At 40.3% G+C, this 22,085-nt stretch overlaps 1 protein-coding gene across 14 annotated transcripts in view, besides 4 other annotated features; it reads right to left on the bottom strand.

Annotated features, from left to right (window-relative positions):
- OCIAD1 (OCIA domain containing 1) overlaps window positions 1-22,085 on the bottom strand; it is a 56,660-nt gene that overhangs the window by 17,644 nt on the left and 16,931 nt on the right. For 3 of the 14 annotated variants that reach the window (NM_001079841.3, NM_017830.4, NM_001079840.3), the window contains exons 1-4: window positions 12,923-13,084; window positions 11,490-11,552; window positions 10,691-10,771; window positions 1,483-1,536 (exon numbers count right to left, since the gene is read on the bottom strand). In NM_001079841.3, coding sequence (NP_001073310.1) covers window positions 1,483-1,536; window positions 10,691-10,771; window positions 11,490-11,547 — 193 coding nt within the window. In that variant the 5' untranslated portion in view covers window positions 11,548-11,552; window positions 12,923-13,084. Of the gene's footprint in view, window positions 1-1,482; window positions 1,537-10,690; window positions 10,772-11,489; window positions 11,553-12,640; window positions 13,085-13,119; window positions 13,258-13,498; window positions 13,596-22,085 lie in introns of those variants that run through there. The other 11 variants (NM_001079839.3, NM_001079842.3, XM_024454105.2 and 8 more) reach the window with 8 other exon arrangements.
- Window positions 12,168-12,730: an enhancer, noted in NCBI's record as "NANOG-H3K27ac-H3K4me1 hESC enhancer chr4:48833459-48834021 (GRCh37/hg19 assembly coordinates)". NCBI's record gives its function as "activates a minimal SCP1, AML or CMV promoter by ChIP-STARR-seq in naive H9 embryonic stem cells {active_cell/tissue: H9 hESC(naive)}" and the evidence as "EXISTENCE:reporter gene assay evidence [ECO:0000049][PMID:30033119]".
- Window positions 12,731-13,294: an enhancer, noted in NCBI's record as "NANOG-H3K27ac-H3K4me1 hESC enhancer chr4:48832895-48833458 (GRCh37/hg19 assembly coordinates)". NCBI's record gives its function as "activates a minimal SCP1, AML or CMV promoter by ChIP-STARR-seq in naive H9 embryonic stem cells {active_cell/tissue: H9 hESC(naive)}" and the evidence as "EXISTENCE:reporter gene assay evidence [ECO:0000049][PMID:30033119]".
- Window positions 12,731-13,516: a biological region, named in NCBI's record as "NANOG-H3K27ac-H3K4me1 hESC enhancer GRCh37_chr4:48832895-48833458".
- Window positions 13,137-13,516: an enhancer, noted in NCBI's record as "active region_21549". NCBI's record gives its function as "activates an Ori minimal core promoter by ATAC-STARR-seq in GM12878 lymphoblastoid cells {active_cell/tissue: GM12878}" and the evidence as "EXISTENCE:reporter gene assay evidence [ECO:0000049][PMID:35858748]".

The raw sequence follows: 22,085 nt of genomic DNA, 5'->3' as shown, positions 1-22,085 counted from the left end.
TTATGCCTATTTGTCTTCATCATCAGGTCCCTCCTTCCTGGTATGTTCTTTCTTCTCATTTAATCTAAATCCTGCCCATCCTTCAAAACCCACTTCTTTCAAGAAACTTTCCTTGATTACAACAGCCCTACAAAGATCTTTCTTCTTTGAACACCTACAACTCTTAGAGTCTCTACTATACAATTTAGTAGCTTATTAAGTATGTAATTAAATTTTCTATTTGCTTCAACATATGTTCACATCCATTTGTTTCCTCCAGTGAACTACTAGCAGCTATTAAATTCTTTTGTGTAACCTTCTGCATACCTAGCTCCAATCATTATTAAATGACACACTGGATTAAAATAGATAAAAGAAGCAGAACAATAATAAACACTGTAATTTCATCCCTGTGCCAGTTTTTCCTACAAAGAATGTAATTCAAGTGGGGTTTTTTTTGTTTTGTTGTTGTTGTTGTTGTTGTTTCACAATACAGAACCAATCTCAGTCTATAAAACAGCTTAGTCTTAAGGACATATAAGTGCATACATCTTGACTCGCTTCTATGTTTAAGATTTTTGTCATGGTACTGTATTGTAATGAAGTTCTTCAGAAGTTCCTTAAATAAATTTTTACCCCAAAAATCCTCTCATTTGCCTCCAAAACTACTTTTATCAACTAATTGTGTCAAAACTAAGTACCATACATCATATCCTAATGTGAAAAGGCTAAATCTTCCAATCATTAAGTCACATTTTTGAAGGAGCCAGTTAATTAAAACAATAGGCCTCCAGGCCATCCTAAGGTCACCATCCTTTTCTGGGACACCTTCCCATTACCAGATAGATAGTTCATGAAGTAAAGGAATTAAGCAACTCTACTGCTTACTCCACTACATTTTAAATGCAGGACTCAAGACATTTAATACTCAATCTAAACTCAATTCCACTACTGTACTATTTGAGCCAATAGACTTTAGGACAAGAAAGTCTCCTCGGTGGCTCGTTAAAAATAGATCACCTGCCAGACCCCTGAGATTCTGATTTTTTAAATAATGCTAACTCACCGCCACTCATCCGCCCCAGGTGATCAGACAAAGCTGGTTTAGAGAGCTACTGATCTTTAAATCATTATATAAGAATCACTTCGAATTTGTTAAAACACAGACTCCTGGTCCCCATGAATGTGCATTCTAACAAGCTCCTAGGCAATAATGTTGCTATTGGCCCACCTAGACCAGGTTTGCCCTGCTAATACTGGTGTTTAGTTACCTTCTTGCTCTTGCAGATTGTTAATGATGCTATTAGTGCAGGAGAAATTCTCAAGTCATGATATTTGAGCCAGTGGGTCCACAGAGATAAAACGTTTAAATTCATCAATGAATTTCTACATAGTGTTTAATATGATACATTGTTATCTTTACTTTTTCTAAAGACCTGGAAAATACCACAAAACAAACATGGTATCCAAAATGCTAAATAAATTCAAATTTTAAATATTTACCTTTACTAATTAATCCTTGAGTAATCAACATACTTGTTGCAGCCAAAGGCACAGCTATAGGAAGAAAAAGACCTTGTTAACATCAACAAAAGTAAAAGATTTTGTCTAAAGTTCATTAGATAAATGAATAGCAGTAAAACCATCTAGGAATTATATTGCATAACTAAGACCTTTAAAAAAGACTGTTCCATTTTTAAAAGCTGTACTGTATACATAGTGGAAAAATTAAAGGAGCATTTTAAATTTAAGAAAACATCACAAAATATTAAACAATATAATTCATGAACCATCTAGGCTTAGGTTCCAAATAGCCAGCTGTTCATCAACAGCATCAACTAAGACAACACAGTAAAAGTGACTCAAAATTACTTCTGAAGTAAGAGAAGGGGAAAAAGTTAATGAAGGAGAGGTAAGAAACAAGTTACAAGTAAGAACCACTACTGAGTAATGACTAAATTCTGTGCATCATGCTAAGCGCCTTATGTGCATTATCTCATTTATTATACTTTTTATCATATTTCTATAAGGTAGATAATGTTATTACCACCCTTTTAAAGATAAGGAAACTGAAGCTTAGAGATGTTAAGTAATTTGCTCAAGGCCAAACAACTAGTTGAATGGTTGGTTACAGATTCTAATAAAATCTGTCTGATACCAGATCTCAAGCTTTTAAGCTCTAGTATACCATCTAAACCAAAATACAAAACATATTTGACCGTAATCATACGGTGGCTGGGGCAAAAATTAAAAAGCACATATTTTAAACACTTATGTTCTTTCTTCTAAACTAGTGAACTCCTTAAACTATATGAAAATATTACATCTATATATATATATGCCTAAAACCGAGAGTGAAAAATCCAAAACTCATAATCTCAAAGGGGGCTATAACTTAAAAACAGCTATGAATCACTGTTCTTTACACCAGCACTGTCTAACAGAATTTTTTATGATAATGGAAGTTGGTCTTTGAGTGACCAACCCTGTGATCAATTTGGTCTTGGTACTTGACTGGTAAACAGTTCCCCCCATTGATATGCGTAATTGGCTCACTGTGCCCAAACTGTTTGTACAAATACAGTTCATGCCAAACATCTGCTTTCATTCTAGGAGTCTGGAATTTTGGTACCTGTTAGGCAGAGGGTGAATAAGTGACCAGCCCCCAATAAAAACTGTGGGCACTGAGTCTCTAATGAGTTCCCCGGGTAGATACAACTTCACACATTGTTATGACTAGCTGTTGGAGAAATTTACACTCCCTGGGAAGAGAACTCTTGGGACCTGGTTTCCGCCGGACTTCACCCCATGCTCCCTTTCCTTTTATGATTTTGCTTTATATCCTTTCACTGCAAGTTATTTTAAAGTTAAATTGCTACATGTGACTACTGGCTGCCACACTGGACAGTGCTGTTCCAGACCTGAGGTTGGCAAACACGTTCTATGAAGAGCCAGATGGTAAATATTTTGGGTTTTGTGGGCCAATCTCTGTCCCAGTTACTCAATTGCCGTTTTAAAGCAAAAGCACCGAAAGACAATCCAAAAACACATGAACGTAGCTGTGTTCCAACAAAACTTTATTTTTAGATGCAAACATATGAATTTCATGTAATTTCACACGTAATGAAATATTCTTTTCCTTTGATTTCTTAACCATTTTATCTTATTTTATGTTTTTAGACAAAGTCTCACTCTATCACCAAGGCTGGAATGCAGTGGTACAATCTCATCTCACTGCAGCCTCAACCTGCCGGCTCAGATGATCCTCCTGCTTCAGCCTCCCAAGTGGTTGGGACTACAGGCATGCACCGCCATGCCTGGCTAATTTTTTGTCTTTTTTCTTTTTTTTTTTTTTTTTTGTAGAGATGAGGTTTCGCCAAGTTGCCCAGGCTGGTCTCGATCTCCTTGGTTCAAGTAATCAGCCCACCTCAGCCTCCCAAAGTGCTGGGATTACAGGCGTGAGCCACTGCACCCAGCCTCTTAACCATTTAAAAATGTAAAAACAATTCTTAGCTCATGCATACAAAAACAGATTTGGTCCATGGGCTAGTTTGTTCAACTCTGGTCTAAACCATATATGGACAATTTAAGAACCAAAGTAATTAAGACATTTGAATTATTACAGATTTCATGATTAAAATCCATCACTTTGGAATAGGGCATTAACTTTGCCATCACACACAAATTGCACAAACGCTAAGGTCTGAATTCATGCTATCCTACTTACTAACAGATTTTACCTTTGCTGGAAATATGGTTTCTTTAATGTTGGCTAGTTAGAATGCCTTCATGCATTATCATTTATCATTTAAGGTTTTGCAAAGGACAAATCCCTTTTAATTACAGCACCAGTACAATTTGCAATCATTTTTCTCCAGCTTGACTCAAGGATTGCAACATGAAGCACTGAAGAATCATATAAGAATAAAAGGCAATGAGTTAGCTGGCCATTTCTACAATGGATAATGCTTTCCCCATTTAATGCAGAGTAATAGTCTGTTCGAGGAGATTCTAGTACTAGTTCTGCCATTCACCACAATGTCTTTGCATAGCTTCTTCTCATGCTATAAAGGAATAATGGATTAGACCTAAGGTCTCATTCCAACTCAGGTATTCTACTTTATGTCACAGAAAAAGACAATGGTAAGACTGAAAGAGGCTTCAGAGATTATCTAGTCCTCATTCCAATCTGAGTACACTAATATCCAGAAAAGACAAGTCATTTGCTCAAAGCAACACAGCTGGTTAGTTTGTGGTAATGCTGAGATCAGAACCCAAGTCTCCTGACTCCCTAGTCAGTGGCCTTTTCCACTACAGTATGTAATATCTATTTTGTTAAATAATCTGTCTCTATAGGCAAATCAGTAATACTGCTGACCAAAACCTAGTGCACATTATTACCACAGTCCCAAACTATATTCAATATATACAAGAATCCCTACAATTATTTGAACTCTTCTCCCCTCACAGTAACAAAAAGCTACTCTATATTCCTAACTGTAGTCAATAAAAATTTTTATTTCATTAATCATAATAACACTAATAGCTATTTAATAAAGATAGCCAACACTTAATTAAATTGCATTAATCCCTATAATAATTTCATGAGCTAGGCAGTTATCCCCATTTTATAGATAAGAAAAGTATAGCACAGACCTCAGGAACTTGTCCAAAATCTCACAGCTACTGTGTGTGGAGCTGGGATTTGAATCCAGCCAATCAGGCCTCAGAGTCCATACTCTTTTTTTTTTTTTTTTGAGATGAAGTCTCGCTTTGTCACCCAGGCTGGAGTGCAATGTCACAATCCTGACTCAATGCAACCTCTGCCTCCCGAGTTCAAGCCATTCTCCTGCCTCAGCCTCCCAAGAAGCTGGGACTACAGGCATGTGCCACCACACCTGGCTAATTTTTGTATTTTTAGTAGAGACAGGGTTTCACCATGTTAGCCAGGCTGGTCTTGAACTCTTGACCTCAAGTGATCCACCCACCTCGGCCTCTCAAAATGCTGGGATTACAGGTGTGAGCCACCATGCCTGGCCCATACTCTTATCACTCTTATACTGTATCATTTGAAAACTAGTAGTACACATATATGAAATATTATTCATAGACTCCAGCTGATACAAATATGAACTGATACATCTTTTTAGTAATTCTGGAGTTTGAGAACTATTTTAACATGAATATGCAATAAACTGACCCTATATGCACAGGGTCTTCACTACCTGTGTGTTTGGGCACAGACATAGTGATTTTAGGTCAGTGCATAGGGTCACGATTTTAAGCACCTAGAAATAAGATGCCTTCATAGTTATATTTCAGATTAATGGAATGTAGGTCAGTATAGAAACATAGTTATCTTAAGGAAAGAGAATGGTCCCTAGATCAACAAGTCTAATTTTAGAAGAGGATAAGTATTTTAACAGACCTAAAAAATGTATAAAAAATTACCTTAGTAAGTGCTTTTTTATAAATTCGTAAATGCTTTTATCACCTTTTTCTAATCCAAGGTGATACTCTCCAAAGTAACAGATGCCATTATTTGTTTACATAAATGTCACATACAGCATAGACTATCTAATTCGAAAGTACAAATGTTAAAGTACAAAATTTCCTATGTATGATTATCATCCTTCTGATAATTATACGTTGAACTTCCTATCACCTGGTTACAACCAAGCTTCTACATTTCAATGTTTGATGCTATAATATGCAACAACACCTTGGTTATCTGTTTTGAGAGTGAAATGCTACCTATTAATACAGTAATTTTTTGGCTGCTGTAATTTCTCAGTAATGTAGATATGGTATAAAATTAACAAGCTGTCTTTCAGCCTGTCCTTATCACATGCTTTTTGTCTTTTTTTTTTTTTTTGAGATGGAGTCTCGCTCTGTCGCCCAGGCTGGAGTGCAGTGGCACGATCTTGGCTTGCTGCAACCTCTGCCTCCCGGGTTCAAGCGATTCTCCTGTCTCAGCCTCTCGAGTAGCTGGAATTACAGGCACCTGCCACCATGCTCAGCTAATTTTTGTATTCTTAGTAGAGACGGGGTTTCACCATATAGGTCAGGCTGGTCTCGAACTCCTGACCTCAGGTGATCTGCCTGCCTCAGCCTCCCAAAGTGCTGGGATTACAGGTGTGAGCCACCAAGCCCAGCCGCTTTTTGTCTTTTCAACCTGTGATTTATCTGTTTTAATGCACAGAAATCACTTAGCTTTGTACTGTTCATATACCACATGTCCCACTATTAAGAGTCTGGTATACACGGGCATCCTGACATTGTTCACTACCCTTTAATGTACTTTTGGCATAAACCTGTCACAGCTATTTAGATTGTTAAACACCTGCAGCAGCATACATTTATCAGCCAGAAATAAATCTGGACACCTTAGCATCTATTTAACCGTTAGCCCAACACTACAATAATCCCAAATCCCCTCTATCACACTTGCCTTTTTCTTAATCCTGTGTCATCAAGACTTAAAAATAGATCATTTTATCCTATCTACTCTATATAATCTTCAAAGATTTAAAAAAAAAAAAAAAAAAAAGAACTGTTGCTGGAGTATACAGCCAAGTTCTCTAAGAAATTCTTCCCATTCTGGCCAGGCACAGTGGCTCATGCTTGTAATCCCAGAACTTTGTGAGGCCGAGGTGGGCAGATCACAAGGTCAGGAGCTCGAGACCAGCCTGGCCAACATGGTGAAACTCCTTCTCTACCAAAAATACAAAAATTAGCTGAGCATGGTGGCAGGCGCCTATAAGCCCAGCTACTTGGGAAGCTGAGGCAGGAGAATTGCTTGAACCCAGGAGGCAGGGGTTGCAGTGAGCCAAGACTGTGCCATTGCATTCCAGCCTGGGCAACAAGAGTGAAACCCAGTCACAAAAAAAAGAACACCGAAAAAAGAAAAAAAAACAAAAAAAAAAAAACGATGGCTTACGTCTGTAATCCCAGCACTTTGGGAGGCCGAGGCAGGTGGATCACAAGGTCAGGAGATGGAGACCATCCTGGTTAACACGGTGAAACCCCATCTCTAGTAAAAATACAAAAAAAAATAGCCAGGTATGGTGGCAGGCGCCTGTAATCCCAGCTACTCGGGAGGCTGAGGCAGGAGAATGGTATGAACCCAGGAGGCGGAGCTTGCAGTGAGCCAAGATTGCACCACCGTACTCCAGCCTGGGGGATAGAGCGAGACTCCGTCTCAAAAAAAAAGAAAGAAATTATTCCCATTCTAATGAGCCATGAAAATTTTATAGAAGCCCTTACTTTATGATGACTATGCATCTATAACAATTATTCTCAACTCGTTCCAGTTATTCTGCTCCCAGTTGAGAATAACTGTTTTAGATGCATAGTCATCATAAATTTAAAATGGACATCATCACCTAATTCTTATTCAGGTTCTTTCTAGCTTGAAATACCTGCAAGTCTCTGAATATTGGTGGATAAAATGACAAAGATTCTATCAGAGCTCCTCTATCTTCCTAACTGCTCTTGGTCTTTGTTGATTCTTTCACTATCACTTGTTCCCTTATCCATGGGTACTATCCAAACTTTATCCTTTATTCTATCAATCCTAAGTATTAATCACAGGGCAGAAACTATTATCAGTTTTATGCTTTTATCTCTACACTTAATTTATTGGCGAATTCACCAACACAACTCCACAATAAACTAATTTTTCATGTATGCTTTTGTTTCTATCTGTAGTTGCTTAGAAATCTTCGACAATCGAATGTTGCACCATGAACTCAAAACGTCTGAACTAAACTCATCTTCAAACAAGAACTCCTTCTAAATGAACCTTTTATTCAGAGGTATCATTGAGTCTCCTAAGCTGGTTATCTTAAAGCTATTACCTCCCTCTTACCATTCCTTCATTCCCCCTTAGTCGAACTTTTTAAAAAATCCTTTTATTTGTCCTTTAAAAAGTCTTTCGTTGCCAGCTCATCTTTTCCAGTCCAAATGACACACTAATCAACTATATCTCATCGTTGACTACATATATATGCCTAAGTTACTGCCAAAAGCTCAAAACAGATTTTACCAAGTACAACTTCTCACCCTTCTACCCATCTTGCACACTGTTAACTAACCTTCCTTAAAAAAAACCTTACATATCACCCCCCTCTGCTCAAGAACCTAAACGATATAATGGATCAAACCTTTAACTCATTACTATGTTTTACGTTCTATCCTCAATGAAAGACCTCTGTTCCAATCAATTCAGGCTCACCGCTCCAGCAGAGATGAAGTTATTGCAAACTCTGCCTTTGTTCACTACTCCTTTCTTCCAAATGCTACTCCACCTTTCCTCTTCACTTATCTACTTATTAACTATTAATTCTTTTGTTGTTGTTGTTGGGGGATTAGGGACAGGGTCTCACTATGTTGCCAAGGCTGGTCTCAAACTCCTGGTCTCAGGCGATCCTCCTGCCTCAACCACCCAATGTGCTGGGGCCAGGTTCAGTGGCTCATGCTTGAAATTCCACCATTTGGGGAGGCCAAGGCAGGCAGATCGCTTGAACTCAGGGGTTCAAGATTAGCCTGGGCAACATGGCAAAACCTAGTATCTACAAAAATAAAAAACAAAACAAAACCAAGGTGCTGGGATTACAGGTGTGAGCCACCATACCTGGCCTACAGTACTATTATAAAGTTGTTAAAGTATTGTTTGCTTAACAAATAAAGGTCTTTTTCCAACTCAGGTATTCCACCTTATGTTACAGAAAAACACAACTGTAAAATTGTAAGAGGCTTCAGTTTTTACCAAATTGAAATTTGGTAAAATTTTGAGAAAATTTTGAGTTTTAAAATCTCAAAAGTTATTCAAATTTTTCAATTTCAGTAAGTCAATTCTAATTAATTTATCTCTTTAAAAAGTCTTCTGCAGTTACACACTTAATCTCTAAGTGTTTCATGTATTAGCTTTGTCTCACCACATATAAAACTACTTCAGGGCCAGGCGCAGTGGCTCACACCTGTAATCCCAGCACTTTCGGAGGCCAAGGCAGGTGAATCAACTGAGGTCAGGAGTTCGAGATCAGCCTGGCCAACATAGTGAAACCCAGTCTCTACTGAAAATACAAAAATTAGCCGGGCATGGTGGCGCACGCCTGTAGTCCCAGATACTCAGGACACTGTGGCAGGAGAATCACTTGAACCCAGGAGAAGGATGTTGACGTGAGCAGAGATCACACCACTGCACTCCAGCCTGGGGAAGAGAGTGAGACTCCGTCTCAAAAACAAAAACAAACAAACAAAAAAGAAAATTAATTCAGGACAAAGTCTGTCTTTCATAAAACTTATCTTCCCAACAGGTACCTTGCACATTTTAAGCATACATATCAGGCTGACTGATGAAAACATACATCCTCCTTAATGGCTTAAGTTGCCCTTTTTTTCTTTTCTTTGAGACAGGGTCTGGCTCTGTCACCCAGGCTGGAATGCAGTGATGTGATCATAGCTCACTGCAGCAGCCTCTATGTACCCAGCTCAAGGGATCCTCCTACCTCAGCCTCAGCCTCCCAAATGGTTGCGATTACAGCTACGTATCACCACACCCAGCTAATTTCTTTCATTTTTGGTAGAGACAAGGCCCCTCTATGTTGCCCACGCTGGTCTTGAACTTCTGGGCTCAAGCAATCCTCCTGCCTCAGCCTCCCAAAGTGCTGCAATTATAGCCATGAGGCACCGTGCCAAGTTGCCTTTTTTAAAAAAAAATTTGCCAGGCATGGTGGCTCACGCCTATAATCCCAGCACTTTGGGAGGCCAAGGCAGATCACCTAAGGTCAGGAGTTCAAGACCAGCCTGGCCAACATGGTGAAATCCCGCTTCTACTAGAAATAGAAAAATTTGCTGGGCATGGTTGCACATGCCTGTAATCCCAGCTACTCAGGAGGCTGAGGCAGGAGAATCGCTTGAACCCAGGAGGCAGAAGTTGCAGTGAGCTGAGATCACACCATTGTACTCCAGCCTGGGCAACAAGAGCGAAGCTCCATCTCAAAAAAACAAAAACAAAAACAAAAAAAAATTCATCCTCCTTTTTACCTGAAAGGACTACAGTTTCCAAGTAAAGCAATACCAATTCTTTGTTAAATAGTGAGAGTATATTTTGTATACTGCTTCCAACAATCTCTGTATTTAAAAAATACAATCTTGATATATATATATACACAAATATATATATATTTCTTTAATCAGAAATCAAGAGCTGGTAGTATAACAACATTTCACAATGATAAAATGGGAACTAATCTGCTATTATATAATGGTTAAAAGCATTAAGAGTAAAATCTGTTTCAGACAGACCTGTTTTCAACTCCAAACATCGTAATTTATCACCTGTGTAACACTAAGTGTTGCCATTTAACATCTCTAAACCTCAATTCCTTCACCTGTAAAGTGAGGGTAATAATAGTTATCAACCTTATTGGGTTGTTTTTATATAATCTATGTACACACAGTAAATGCTAACTATTACTATTATCAACAAAATTACCTCATGGTTTTGTTAAAAATCTGGAAATAATTACTTTAAAATGTGTGCAATTCCTTTATCTCCTTAATCTCTTTTAACAACAACCACACTATGCAAAAAGTTTGCCAATTTGTTCTATACGGAGTTATTATAATTTCAGGTTCAAATTCAAGTCAAAATTTCAGGTACAAATTTTGGATCAAATTATATTAATTAGAAAATTGAACTCACATCTGAACCAGAAGCTTTCATCATTGCATTCTGCGAAGACTCTCCTTTCTTCCTCTGTTGGAATGTAATCAGGCCCTATGTCTTTTTACCAGGGAAAATCAGAAAACATTAAATTATCCATAATAAAACTAGGTCTGAAAAATTATCTTAGCCTAAACATTAACAAGAGGCACCCATTTTTTAAACTCAAATAATAAAACAACTGGCTTATGCACTTTTTTTGTTTTTTGAGACAGTGTTTCACTCTTGTTGCCCAGGCTGGAGTGCAATGGCGCGATCTCGGCTCACTGCAACCTCCACCTCCCGGGGTTCAAGCGATTCTCCTGCCTCAGCCTTCCGAGTAGCTGGGATTACAGGCACCCATCACCACGCCAGGCTAATTTTTTGTATTTTAGTAGATACGGGGTTTCACCATGTTAGCCAGGCTAGTCTCGAACTCCTGACCTCAGGTGTTCCACCCATCTCAGCCTCCCAAAGTGCTGGGATTACAGGCATGAGCCACCGAGCCAGGCCACTTATACACTTTCAACAAACTTTGACTTCAAATAGAATTAATGCTACTATCTGCTAGTCAGGACTGGCTACCTAATGTGCTGGGCCCAGTGCAAAATAAAAACGTGGGACTCCTTATCCAAATGATTATGAATTTCAAGATAACAAGACTAGAACATGAAACCAAGTATGGGGCGCTGTCTGCACATGCCCATGAAGCCAGCCCACCTGCCACTGTTACTCAAGGCAGTGAAAATTCCTTTACATAGGAAGTGCTTCTAATTATAAATACTTAATAGATAGTTACGGGGAATTGGTCTTGGAACCTCTGCATTCGGCTCTCGAAAATCAGCCCTCCCATTCATCTTTCCTGTATCAAAAACATTACATATTAAGTATTAGAAACTATCACTAGATAGGTCAAAGTAAATCAAGACGTATGATATAGTAAAACTACTAGTCTACACAGCAATCAATCAACAAATATTTATTAAACACTACTATATCTTACGTACTCCACATGTAAATAGCTAGATGAAAAAGTAACAGACCTACTGATTAATTTGGAACTCACTATTCAGGTTAAGTCCCTTAATTGAAAAAGCATATGCGTTTTATAAGTTTATAATTTTTTTTACTATCAAGATATCAATAAAATAACAGACATATTTTTTCCTCCTGGAAGTGGGTTCTTTCACATCCTATGTTTTGGTCGTTTCTCGAATCTATGCCCAATGATTAGGATAATTCCCCAAAATAGAAGAGAAAAAAAATTTCAAGTCATTTCTGAGCTTCCATATTAAAAAATGAAATAATCATCAGAAACATTCAACCTCTCCCACAAAGGAGCACTCCAAAATTATGGAATAACAAAGACGACATATCCTTCTCCCTGTGAGGTAAAACTAACAGCAAATTCTGTATCTCCAAATTTCCTTCCACCCCAAGAATATAAGAAAAAAATGCATAAAATTCCAAGAATATACATTTTTTATTTGGTTCTTTTTTTAAAAACTCATATATTGGGACTCAGACCAACAGATCAAGTAACCGTATTTTACAGAACGTTTACGTGGGATCATGATTATTCTCATTTTAAAAACAATTTGCATGGAAACAGGAAATGGCATACACAATGAGGACAGCAACTGAGCCCTTCCATAATTCATTCAGTCAATAAGCCATGAAGGCCTACTACATGCCAACCCCTTAATTAGAGAAAAGAAATAAAAAAGGTCAGCTGAATTCATGGATGGATGGAGCCTGCTGAATAAACTACCTTTACCCTACAACCGTATGAGAAAAAATGAAACCCTCTTATTTCCCATAACGGCATCCTTCCTAGAAACACCAGGAAGACTGTCAGGGCTGACACGGCGCTTAAGACAATACCATTTTAAGTTCTTTACACAAAACAACGCTGGATTAAAGCCTAAGCGGCCTACAACCGCTGATTACCGCACTCCATCCTCCACCCAGTGTCCGTCTCCCACCTGCCGTTACAGACTGAGCAGCAACCCCACACGCATCCGTGACCACGAACTTCCCCAGCTCACACCCCCAGAAGCACTCCGTCGCCTCCCGCAGTCACCGGCACTCAGGAGGCCGAGACCCGAGCGCGATCTGTCCACCCTCACAGGCAGGAAAATGGCGGAAGGTGCGAAAGTCGTGGATGGCCGCAAAGGTGGTGAGGGGATACGCGGAGGGCAACAACGGGGCTGTTTGCGTCACCTCACCCACCTCCCGACGACAGCAGCAGGCGACTGCAAGGAAAACCAAGCGATCAGGGGCAGAAGGCCCGGAGGGTGGACTCGAGAGGGGGCAGGGAGGGAGAAAAGTGCAAGGTACCGCGGGGAGGGGGAGGGGTAGAACAGCCGCAAGAAGTCATCCAGACAGGGGCTCAAAATGACCGCGACCCGGAGGCACTGTATACTTACGGCAGGAAATGACGTCAGACCTCACTGCGGGTCTGAGAGCCAGCAGCCTAGGAATAGACGCATGCGTATACTCGTCCCTTTGCCCTTTCAGGCAGCTGCGGCCACGAGCCGCACTGCGACTGCGCAGGCGACAGCGGCGGACCAAGAACCCTGCCCCGCCCCTTCCCTGGATGGCGGGGAAGGGGGTTGGGAGTAGGCTTGACTTTGGGCTGTTGTGATGCACCTCTCTGGTCTTCTCGTGGCGGCTGGCGGGAACGTTCCGGAACCCTCTGTTGTCCCTCTTTTGAGAGCGACTTTATAAATTATCTCTTTTATGAGATAATTTCATTCTTTGAGCCTGTAGGCTAAGTAGTAGAAAGTAATTTTTAAGCATGCATACCTGGTTATTTGTCACACCCTCTTGATCCAAGTTTCCAACAAGTTCTACAACCTCTGGCAGGGTACCGTGATCTCTCTGAGGCTACGGTTTTTCTCACCTGAAAAGTGGAATTACATATAGGGTTGTTAGAATTAAAACAACACATCACTGTCTATTAATGAGGGGGCTCACGACTTCTACACATCAGACATGGTGCTGCCACACCCAGCCAATCAGCATTTTACTCATTTTCATACATTCCTTCCTGAAGTATTTATTAGTGCCATGTACTGCAAGTTATTAGTGACTAAACAGTGGGCAAATCCAGTCCTACTATTTGTCAACCCCTCAAAGCCTCTCAGGTTTCTCATCTCTTTCTGAGCCCCTTTGCCACTTTATCATTTAACATTTATTCTCCCGAAGACATACTTAAGGGAGACAGTCACGTGAAACGAATCCAACGCTGTGTTTCCTTCCTTGGAGTCTTTTGATAGCTCCAGTCATGCACCGAATATAAGGCCCATCATGGCCTGGTGGTGCCTGTGCCTTTTGAGCGTCACTTTCTTCTATTTCAGGGTTCACTAACAAGAAACAGCCTGGAGGTCTTTGCCCTCAGTGTTCTCTGTGCACTGTTTCCCCAGTACAACTCTACTCCCTGCTTTGTCAATTCTAACGATATTTCAAAATTCTGCTTTTACATCACCACCTTTGTGATGCCTTCCCTGAAATACACCCCAGAGAAGTAATCACTCTTCCTTCTTAGTCCTTAGCTTGTCCATACTGCTGTCACTGCAATGTACTTTTGCACTGAATAGTGATCTTTTTTACTTACGTCTGTCTCTGTTACAGAGCTCCTTTAGGACAGAGATGTTGGCTTGTAAGTCTTTATAGAACCAAATAAATCCCTGAGATAATCAGTATTAGTAACTAATACTCATTTTGTTCCTGGGACAAGCTAATTTACTTCTGGGCCCAGGGCTTGTGCAATTGCTGTTCCCTCTTCTAGACCACTGTTCTTCCAGATGTTCAACGTGGCTTTTTGTCTGAGACTTCAGTTGATGTCACCACATCAGAGAGGCATTCCTTGACCACCCAATTAACATGGCACCCCAGTCACTCTCCATGTTACCTTGCTTATTGTTTTCATAGTATTTGTTATGGTCTAAAACAATGATTTGTTTGTGTATTGTCTCTCTTCACTAAAAAGGTCTATGACAGTAGGAGCCGTATTTGCCTAGCATCAGTGATTGGCACATGATCATATGAAGCCAACAAATATTTCTTAAATGAATTTGTTGAATGCATTTTTATAGGAGAAAAAACAAAAATAAGAAAATTAAAAGACATTCTAGAAGAAACAAAAATAAAAAAATTAGAAGACATTCTAGGTGGTGAGCTTTATGTTAAAGCAAAGTTTTTTGTTGTTTTTTTTTTTAGGACAGGGCCTTGCTCTATTGTCTAGACCGTAGTACAGTGGTGCCATCTCGGCTCACTGCAACCTTCGCCTCCCAGATTCAAGCAATTCTTGTGCCTCAGCCTCCTGAGTAGCTGGGACCACAGGTGTGCACCACCACGCCCAGCTAATTTTTTTATTTGTAGAAGAGACAGAGTTTCACTACTTTACCAGCCTGGTCTCCAATTCCTGGCCTCAAGTGATCTGCCCACTTTGGCCTCCCGAAGTGCTGGGGTTATAGGCATGAGCCACTGCACCAACTTTAAAGCAAAGTCTTTTTCTTTGCTTCCTGACTAGATTGTAAGATTCCAGAATCCAGTTTTATCATATTCTTTATACTTACTGAGCCAGGCCTAACACATAGTGTGTCCTAAATTGGTGGGTTCTTGGTCTCACTGACTTCAAGAATGAAGCTGCGGACCCTCACGGTGAGCGTTACAGTTCTTAAAGATGGTGTGTCCAGACTTTGTTCCTTCTGATGTTCGGACATGCTCGGAGTTTATTCCTTCTGGTGGGTTCGTGGTCTTGCTGGCTTCAGGAGTGAAGCTGCAGACCTTCGCAGTGAGTGTTACAGCTCTTAAGGCGGTGCATCTGGAGTTGTTCATTCCTCCCGTCTGGAGTTGTTAATCCCTCCAGGTGGGTTCATGGTCTCACTGGCCTCAGGAGTGAAGTTGCAGACCTTCACAGTGAGTGTTACAGCTCATAAAGGTGGTGCAGACCCAAAGAGTGAGCAGCAGCAAGATTTATTGCAAAGAGCAAAAGAACAAAGCTTCCACAGTGTGGAAGGGGACCTGAGTGGGTTGCCGCTGCTGGCTCAAGAGGCCTGCTTTTATTCCCTTATCTGGCCCCACACACATCCTGCTGATTGGTCCATTGTACAGAGAGTTGATTGGTCCATTGTACAGAGAGCTGATTGGTCAATTTTGACAGGGTGCTGATTGGTGCATTTACAATCCATGAGCTAGACACAGAGTGCTGATTGGTGCATTTACAATCCTTTAGCTAGACACAAAAGTTCTCCAAGTCCCCACTAGATTAGGTAGACACAGAGCACTGATTGGTGCATTTACAAACCTTGAGCTAGACATAGGGTGCTGATTGGTGCATTTACAAACCTTTCCCTAGACATAAAAGTTCTCCAAGTCCCCACTAGATTAGCCAGACACAGAGCACTGATTGGTGCATTTACAAACCTTTAGGTAGACAAAGAGTGCTGATTGGTGCATTTACAATCCTCTAGTGAGACATAAAAGTTCTCCAAGTCCCCACCAGAGTAGCTAGATACAGAGTGCTGATTGGTGCATCTACAAACCCCGAGCTAGACACAGAGTGCTGATTGGTGCATACACAATCCTCCAGCTAGACATAAAAGTTCTCCAAGTCCCCACCCAACTCTGGAGCCCAGCTGGCTTCACCTAGTGGATCCCATGCCGGGGCTGCAGGTGGAGCTACCCGCCAGTCCCACGCCACGTGCCTGCAATAGCACATGGTAGATTGATAAGTCTATTTTCTGTTGCCCCCTAATTTCTCAGCAATTAATCAATAAATTGAGTTTCTGTTGATAAAAGACTATGAGCTCCTTCTGTGGGAACATATAGGATTCTAAAACATTCAAGTAAACTGTCACTTTGCATTTGTGCTGGCATTTAGAGGTTATTGAGTCTTTTGGTAATTTGGGTAATGCAACAATCAAAGAATTCAAACATAAATTGGGCAAGATCCAAAGACTTGCGGGAAGTCGATACACATTTGCTAGAGATGGGCTGTAGGATTTATTAGCCAACTCAGACTAATGTGTTCTAATCTGGAATGGTGAGATCACCAGAAATCGATCCACCTGGATTAAATTAAATCAACAGTCTTCATGATACCTCCATTGAGTTAAGATCTAATGAAATGTACCATAAGAAATTTCCACTTATTAGACATCACTTAAAAAAATTAATAATAAAGGGATAATTTATACTCATTAATGTATATAAATGAAATCAATGTAGTGAACTTCTACTTCATTTCAGTGTCAATAAAAGATTTATTTTCAAATGAACGCTTGAACTTCCATAATTGATAATTATTCAGCGATTATTCAAGCAATCATTATTCAATAAATTATTATTCAGCATATTTCTATTTATGTTCCATTAGAGCAGAACTTGTGTTTTATTAGTTCACCAGACTATCTAGTTTAACACATATTTATTATTCAAAATGTAGTGTCATAGAAGCCAAAGGAAAAGAATCTTCTAAGAAGGAAGAAATGGTCAATTATATCAAATGCTGGTAAGGATGGAGAACTATCCATTACATGCAGCAATAAAAAGGTTATTTATAACTTTTGCAAGTGTAGTTTTATTAAAATCTAGATTACAATGGGTTGAGAAAAGAGTGATTGGAGATAATGTGAGGAAAAGTGTACATTACTCTTTCTGGAAGTTTAGCTGTTTAGAGAAAGCAAGATAGAGTGGTAGCTGGAGGAAAAAATAAAAATGGATGAAGGTTATTTTTTGTTTTGGGTTTTTGCTTTTATGATTTTTAATTGACATAATAATTGTACATATTTATGGGGTACAACATGATATTTTGAAATATGTAAGTGTGTAATAATCAAATCAGAGTAACTAGCATATTCATTACCTCAATGTTTTTGTTTTTTAATTCCATAGGCTTTTAATTGTAATTGGCAAAGGGAAAGAACCACTAAAGAGAAGAATTGAAAATATAGTATTCCAGGAATACTATGCAGCCATAAAAAAGAATGAGTTCATGTCCTTTGTAGGGACATGGATGAAGCTGGAAACCATCATTCTCAGCAAACTATCGCAAGGACAGAAAACCAAACACCGCATGTTCTCACTCATAGGTGGGAATTGAACAATGAGAACACTCGGACACAGGGTGGGGAACATCACACACTGGGGCCTGTTGTGGGTTGTGGGGAGGGAGGAGGGATCGCATTAGGAGATATACCTAATGCTAAATTATGAGTTAATGGGTGCAGCACACCAACATGGCACATGTAAGCATATGTAACAAACCTGCACGTTGTTCACATGTACCCTAGAACTTAAAGTATAATTTAAAAAAAAAAGAAAATATAGGAGGGAGGCCAAGCACAGTAGCTCATGCCTGTAATCCCAGCACTTCGGGAGGCTGAGATGGGCGGATCACTTGATGTCAGGAGTTCAAGACCAGTCTGGCCAACACGGCGAAACCCTGTCTCTACCTAAAACTACAAAAATTAGCCAGGCGTGGTGGTGCATGCCTGTAATCCCAGCTACTGACAGGCTGAGGCAGAAGAATTGCTTGAACCCAGGAGGTGGAGGTTGCAGTGAGCCAAGATTGTACTACTGCACTCCAGCCTGGGCAACAGAGTGAGGCTCTTGTAAGATGGAAAGAAAGAAAGAAAAGAAAGAAAGAAAAAGAAAGTAAGAAAGAAAGAAGAGAGAGAAAGAGAGAGAAGGGAGGGAGGGAGGGAAAGAAAGAGAAAATACAAGAGCAAGAAGGGATAATTAATAGCATAGGGCGGATTTCTTAACTAATATTCCCATGGATGTGTTATAGGTATGCCACAAGCTATTGATTCACTCACTCAGCCTTTGCAGCAGTCTGTGGGCAGAGACCATGGGCCAGTTTCCTGCATTATAAGCAACCTTCTTTGGGGGTCCTCTGAGGTGATTTAGAGGAAAACAAAGTCTAATGGTATTCCTATGTACCCCAAAAGTGATGAGAATGATAAGCAAAATTCAGCTCTTCTTTCCCATACTAAATCTCAGAAAATTCAGCCAAAGGGCACGCTGCTGCCCATCATGGGCAAGGGGCCTATGGGGCTGCTGAAGATATTCATGTGTTAGATACCCTGGATGCATACCTAGATATTCATGTGTTAGATGACCTGGATTCATGTGTTAGATACCCTGGATGCATACCCTAGATACCCTGGATGCATGGGATGGCAGGAATCCCAAGGTGCAGCTAGTAGAGTGGGGGCACAAGGAGTCAGGACTGGGGCCCCAGGCAGGTGCAGCTCCAGGGAGTAACCCCAAGGAGCAAGCCCATATCTCAGTCTTCACATTAATTGGGCATGTCTGGACTTTTGGGGTTGAAATGTCCTTTTTGTGGTGTCCATGCCAGCTGCAGGGGATCTGCTCTCATAATGCAAATTACAGTTCCTTCATTATTTTGACTTATTTGAAATTAAAAACTCCAGCCAGGCGCAGTGGCTCATGCCTGTAAGTCCCAGTACTTTGGGATGCCAAGGTGGGCAGGTCATTTGAGCCCAGGAGTTCCAGACCCACCTGGGCAACATTGTGAAACCCTGTCTCTACTAAAAATACAAAAATTAACCAGATGTAGTGGTGCATGCCTGTAATCCCAGCTACTTGGGAGGCTGAGGTGGGAGGACCACTTCAGCCCAGGAGATCAAGGCTGCAGCAAGCTATGATTGCGCCACTGCACTCCAGCCTGAACAACAGAGCAAGACTCTGTCTAAAACAAAAAAGTTCATTTGAATTCAAAATTCACCTGAATTGTCATTCATTATATTTCTGTTACATTTCTTAATGAAAGAAAAGAGGCCAGTGCAGTGGGTGGTTCACACCTGGCCAAGGCAGGAGGATCGCTTGAGGCCAGGAGTTTGAGACCAGCCTGGGCAACATAAAAAGACCCTATCTCTAAAATAATAATAATAATAATAATAAGGTGGGTGTGCTAGTGCATGCCTGTAGTCCTAGCTACCCAGGAGGTGGAGGCGACAGGATCACTTGAGACCAGGAGTTCAGGGTTGCAGTGAGCTATGATTGTGCCTGTACACTCCAGCCTGAGCAACAGAATGAGGTCCCATCTCAAAAAAAGAAAAAGAAAAACAAAAACAGTTTTAGAGTCTTTGATGTAATTTCAATTGTAAATACTGAGTGGTTATTGCATTCAAAATTTCTTGTTAATGGAAACTATTAAAAATTCAGGCTGGGCGCAGTGGCTCACACCTGTAATCCCAGCACTTTGGGAGGCCAAGGCAGGTGGATTGCTTTGAGCTTAGGAGTTTGAGACTAGTGTGGGCAACACGGCAAAAACCCATCTCTACAAAAAAATACAAAAAATTAGCTGGGCATGATGGTGCTCATCTGTAGTCCCAGCTATTCAGGAGGCTGAAGTGGGAGGATCACTTGAGCCTGGGAGGCAGAGGTTGCAGTAAGCCAAGATCATGCCACTGCACTCCAGCCTGGGCAACAGAGTGAGGCCCTGTCTTAAAAACAAAACAAAAGAAGAATTCAAAGAAAGCCAGGTGTAGTGGCTCACTCCTGTAATCTGAATACTTTGGGAGGCCAAAGCAGAAGGATCACATGAGGCCAGGAGTTTGAGACCAGCCTGAGCAACATAGCAAGACTCCATCTCTACAAAAAAAAAAAAAAAAAAAAAAAGCCAGGCATTGTGGCACCCCTGCAGTCCTAGCTAATCTAGAGCATGAAGCAAGAGGATCACTTATGCCCAGGGATTTAAGGCTCCAGTGAGCTATGATAATGCCACTGCACTCCAGCCTGGGCAACAGAACAAGACCTTCTCTAAAAAAAAATTAAAAATAAATAAAAATAAAAGTAAATTCAAAGAGATCATCATTTAAAAAAGGAAATGTGTATAGCCATTTCAAATTTTTTTAAGTATTACAATATGTCTTTTTTTTTTTATTTTACTTTAAGTTCTGGGGTACATGTGGAGAACCTGCAGGTGTGTTACATAGGTATACAGGTGCCATGGTGGTTTGCTGCACCTGTCAACCTTCCATCTAGGTTTTAAACGCCGCATCCATTAGGTATTTGCCCTAACGCTCTCCCTCCCTTTGCCCCCTACCCCCCCACCAACAGGTCCCGGTGTGTGATGTTCCCCTCCCTGTGTCCATGTGTTCTCGCTGTTCAGCTCCCACTTATAAGTGAGAACATGCGGTGTTTGGTTTTCCGTTCCTGTGTTAGATTGCTGAAAATGATGGTTTCCAGCTTCAACCATGTACCTGCAAAGGACATGAACTCTTTCTTTTTTATGGCTCCATAGTATTCCATGGTATGTATGCGCCACATTTTCTTTATCCGGTCTATCATTGATGGGCATTTGGGTTGCTTCCATGACTTTGCTATTGTAAACAGTGCTGCAATAAACATACATGTGCATGTGTCTTCATAGTAGAATGATTTATAATCCTTTGGGTTTATACTGAGTAATGGGATTGCTGGGTCAAATGGTATTTCTTGTTCTAGATACTTGAGTAATTGCCACACTGTCTTCCACAATGGTTGAACTAATTTACACTCCCACCAACAGTGTAAAAGCGTTCCGATTTCTCCACAGCCTCACCAGCATCTGTTGTCTCCTGACTTTTTAATAATCACCATTCTGACTGGTGTAAGATGGTATCTCATTGTGGTTTTCATTTGCATTTCTCTAATGACCAGTGATGATGAGCATTTTTTTATATGTTTGTTGGCCACATAAATGTCTTCTTTTGAGAAGTGTCTGTTCGTATCCTTTGCCCACTTTTTGATGGGGTTGATTGTTTTTTCTTGTAAATTTAAGTTCCTTATAGATTCAGGGTATTAGACCTTTGTTGGAAGGGTAGCTTGCAAAAATTTTCTCCCATTCTGTAGGTTGCCTGTTCACTCTGATGATAGTTTTCTTTGCTGTGCAGAAGCTCTTCAGTTTAATTAGATCCCATTTGTCAATTTTGGCTTTTGTTGTGATTACTTTTGTGTTTTAGTCATGAAGTCTTTGCCCATGCCTATGTCCTGAATGGTACTGCCTATGTTTTCTTCTAAGGTTTTTATGATTTGGGGTTTTACATTTAAGTCTTTAATGCATCTTGAGTTAATTTTTACGTAAGATGTAAGGAAGTGGTCCAGTTTCTGTTTTCTGCATATGGCCAAGCCAGTTTTCCCAGCACCATTTATTAAATAGGGAATCCTTTCCCCATTGTTTGTTTTTGTCAGGTTTGTTGAAGATCAGATGGTTGTGATGCATGGTGTTATTTCTGAGGTCTCTGTTCTGTTCCGTTTGTCTATACATCTGTTTTGGTACCAGTACCATGCTGTTTTGGTTACTGTAGCCTTGTAGTATAGTTTGAAGTCAGATAGCATGATGCCTCCAGCTTTGTTCTTTTTGCTTAGGATTGTC

The sequence above is a fragment of the Homo sapiens genome, chromosome 4 (assembly GCF_000001405.40).
Source record: "Homo sapiens chromosome 4, GRCh38.p14 Primary Assembly".
In the NCBI taxonomy this organism is placed as follows: domain Eukaryota; kingdom Metazoa; phylum Chordata; class Mammalia; order Primates; family Hominidae; genus Homo; species Homo sapiens.
Note: the sequence above shows the minus strand (reverse complement) of the source record. Positions and strands in the feature narration are given on the sequence as shown.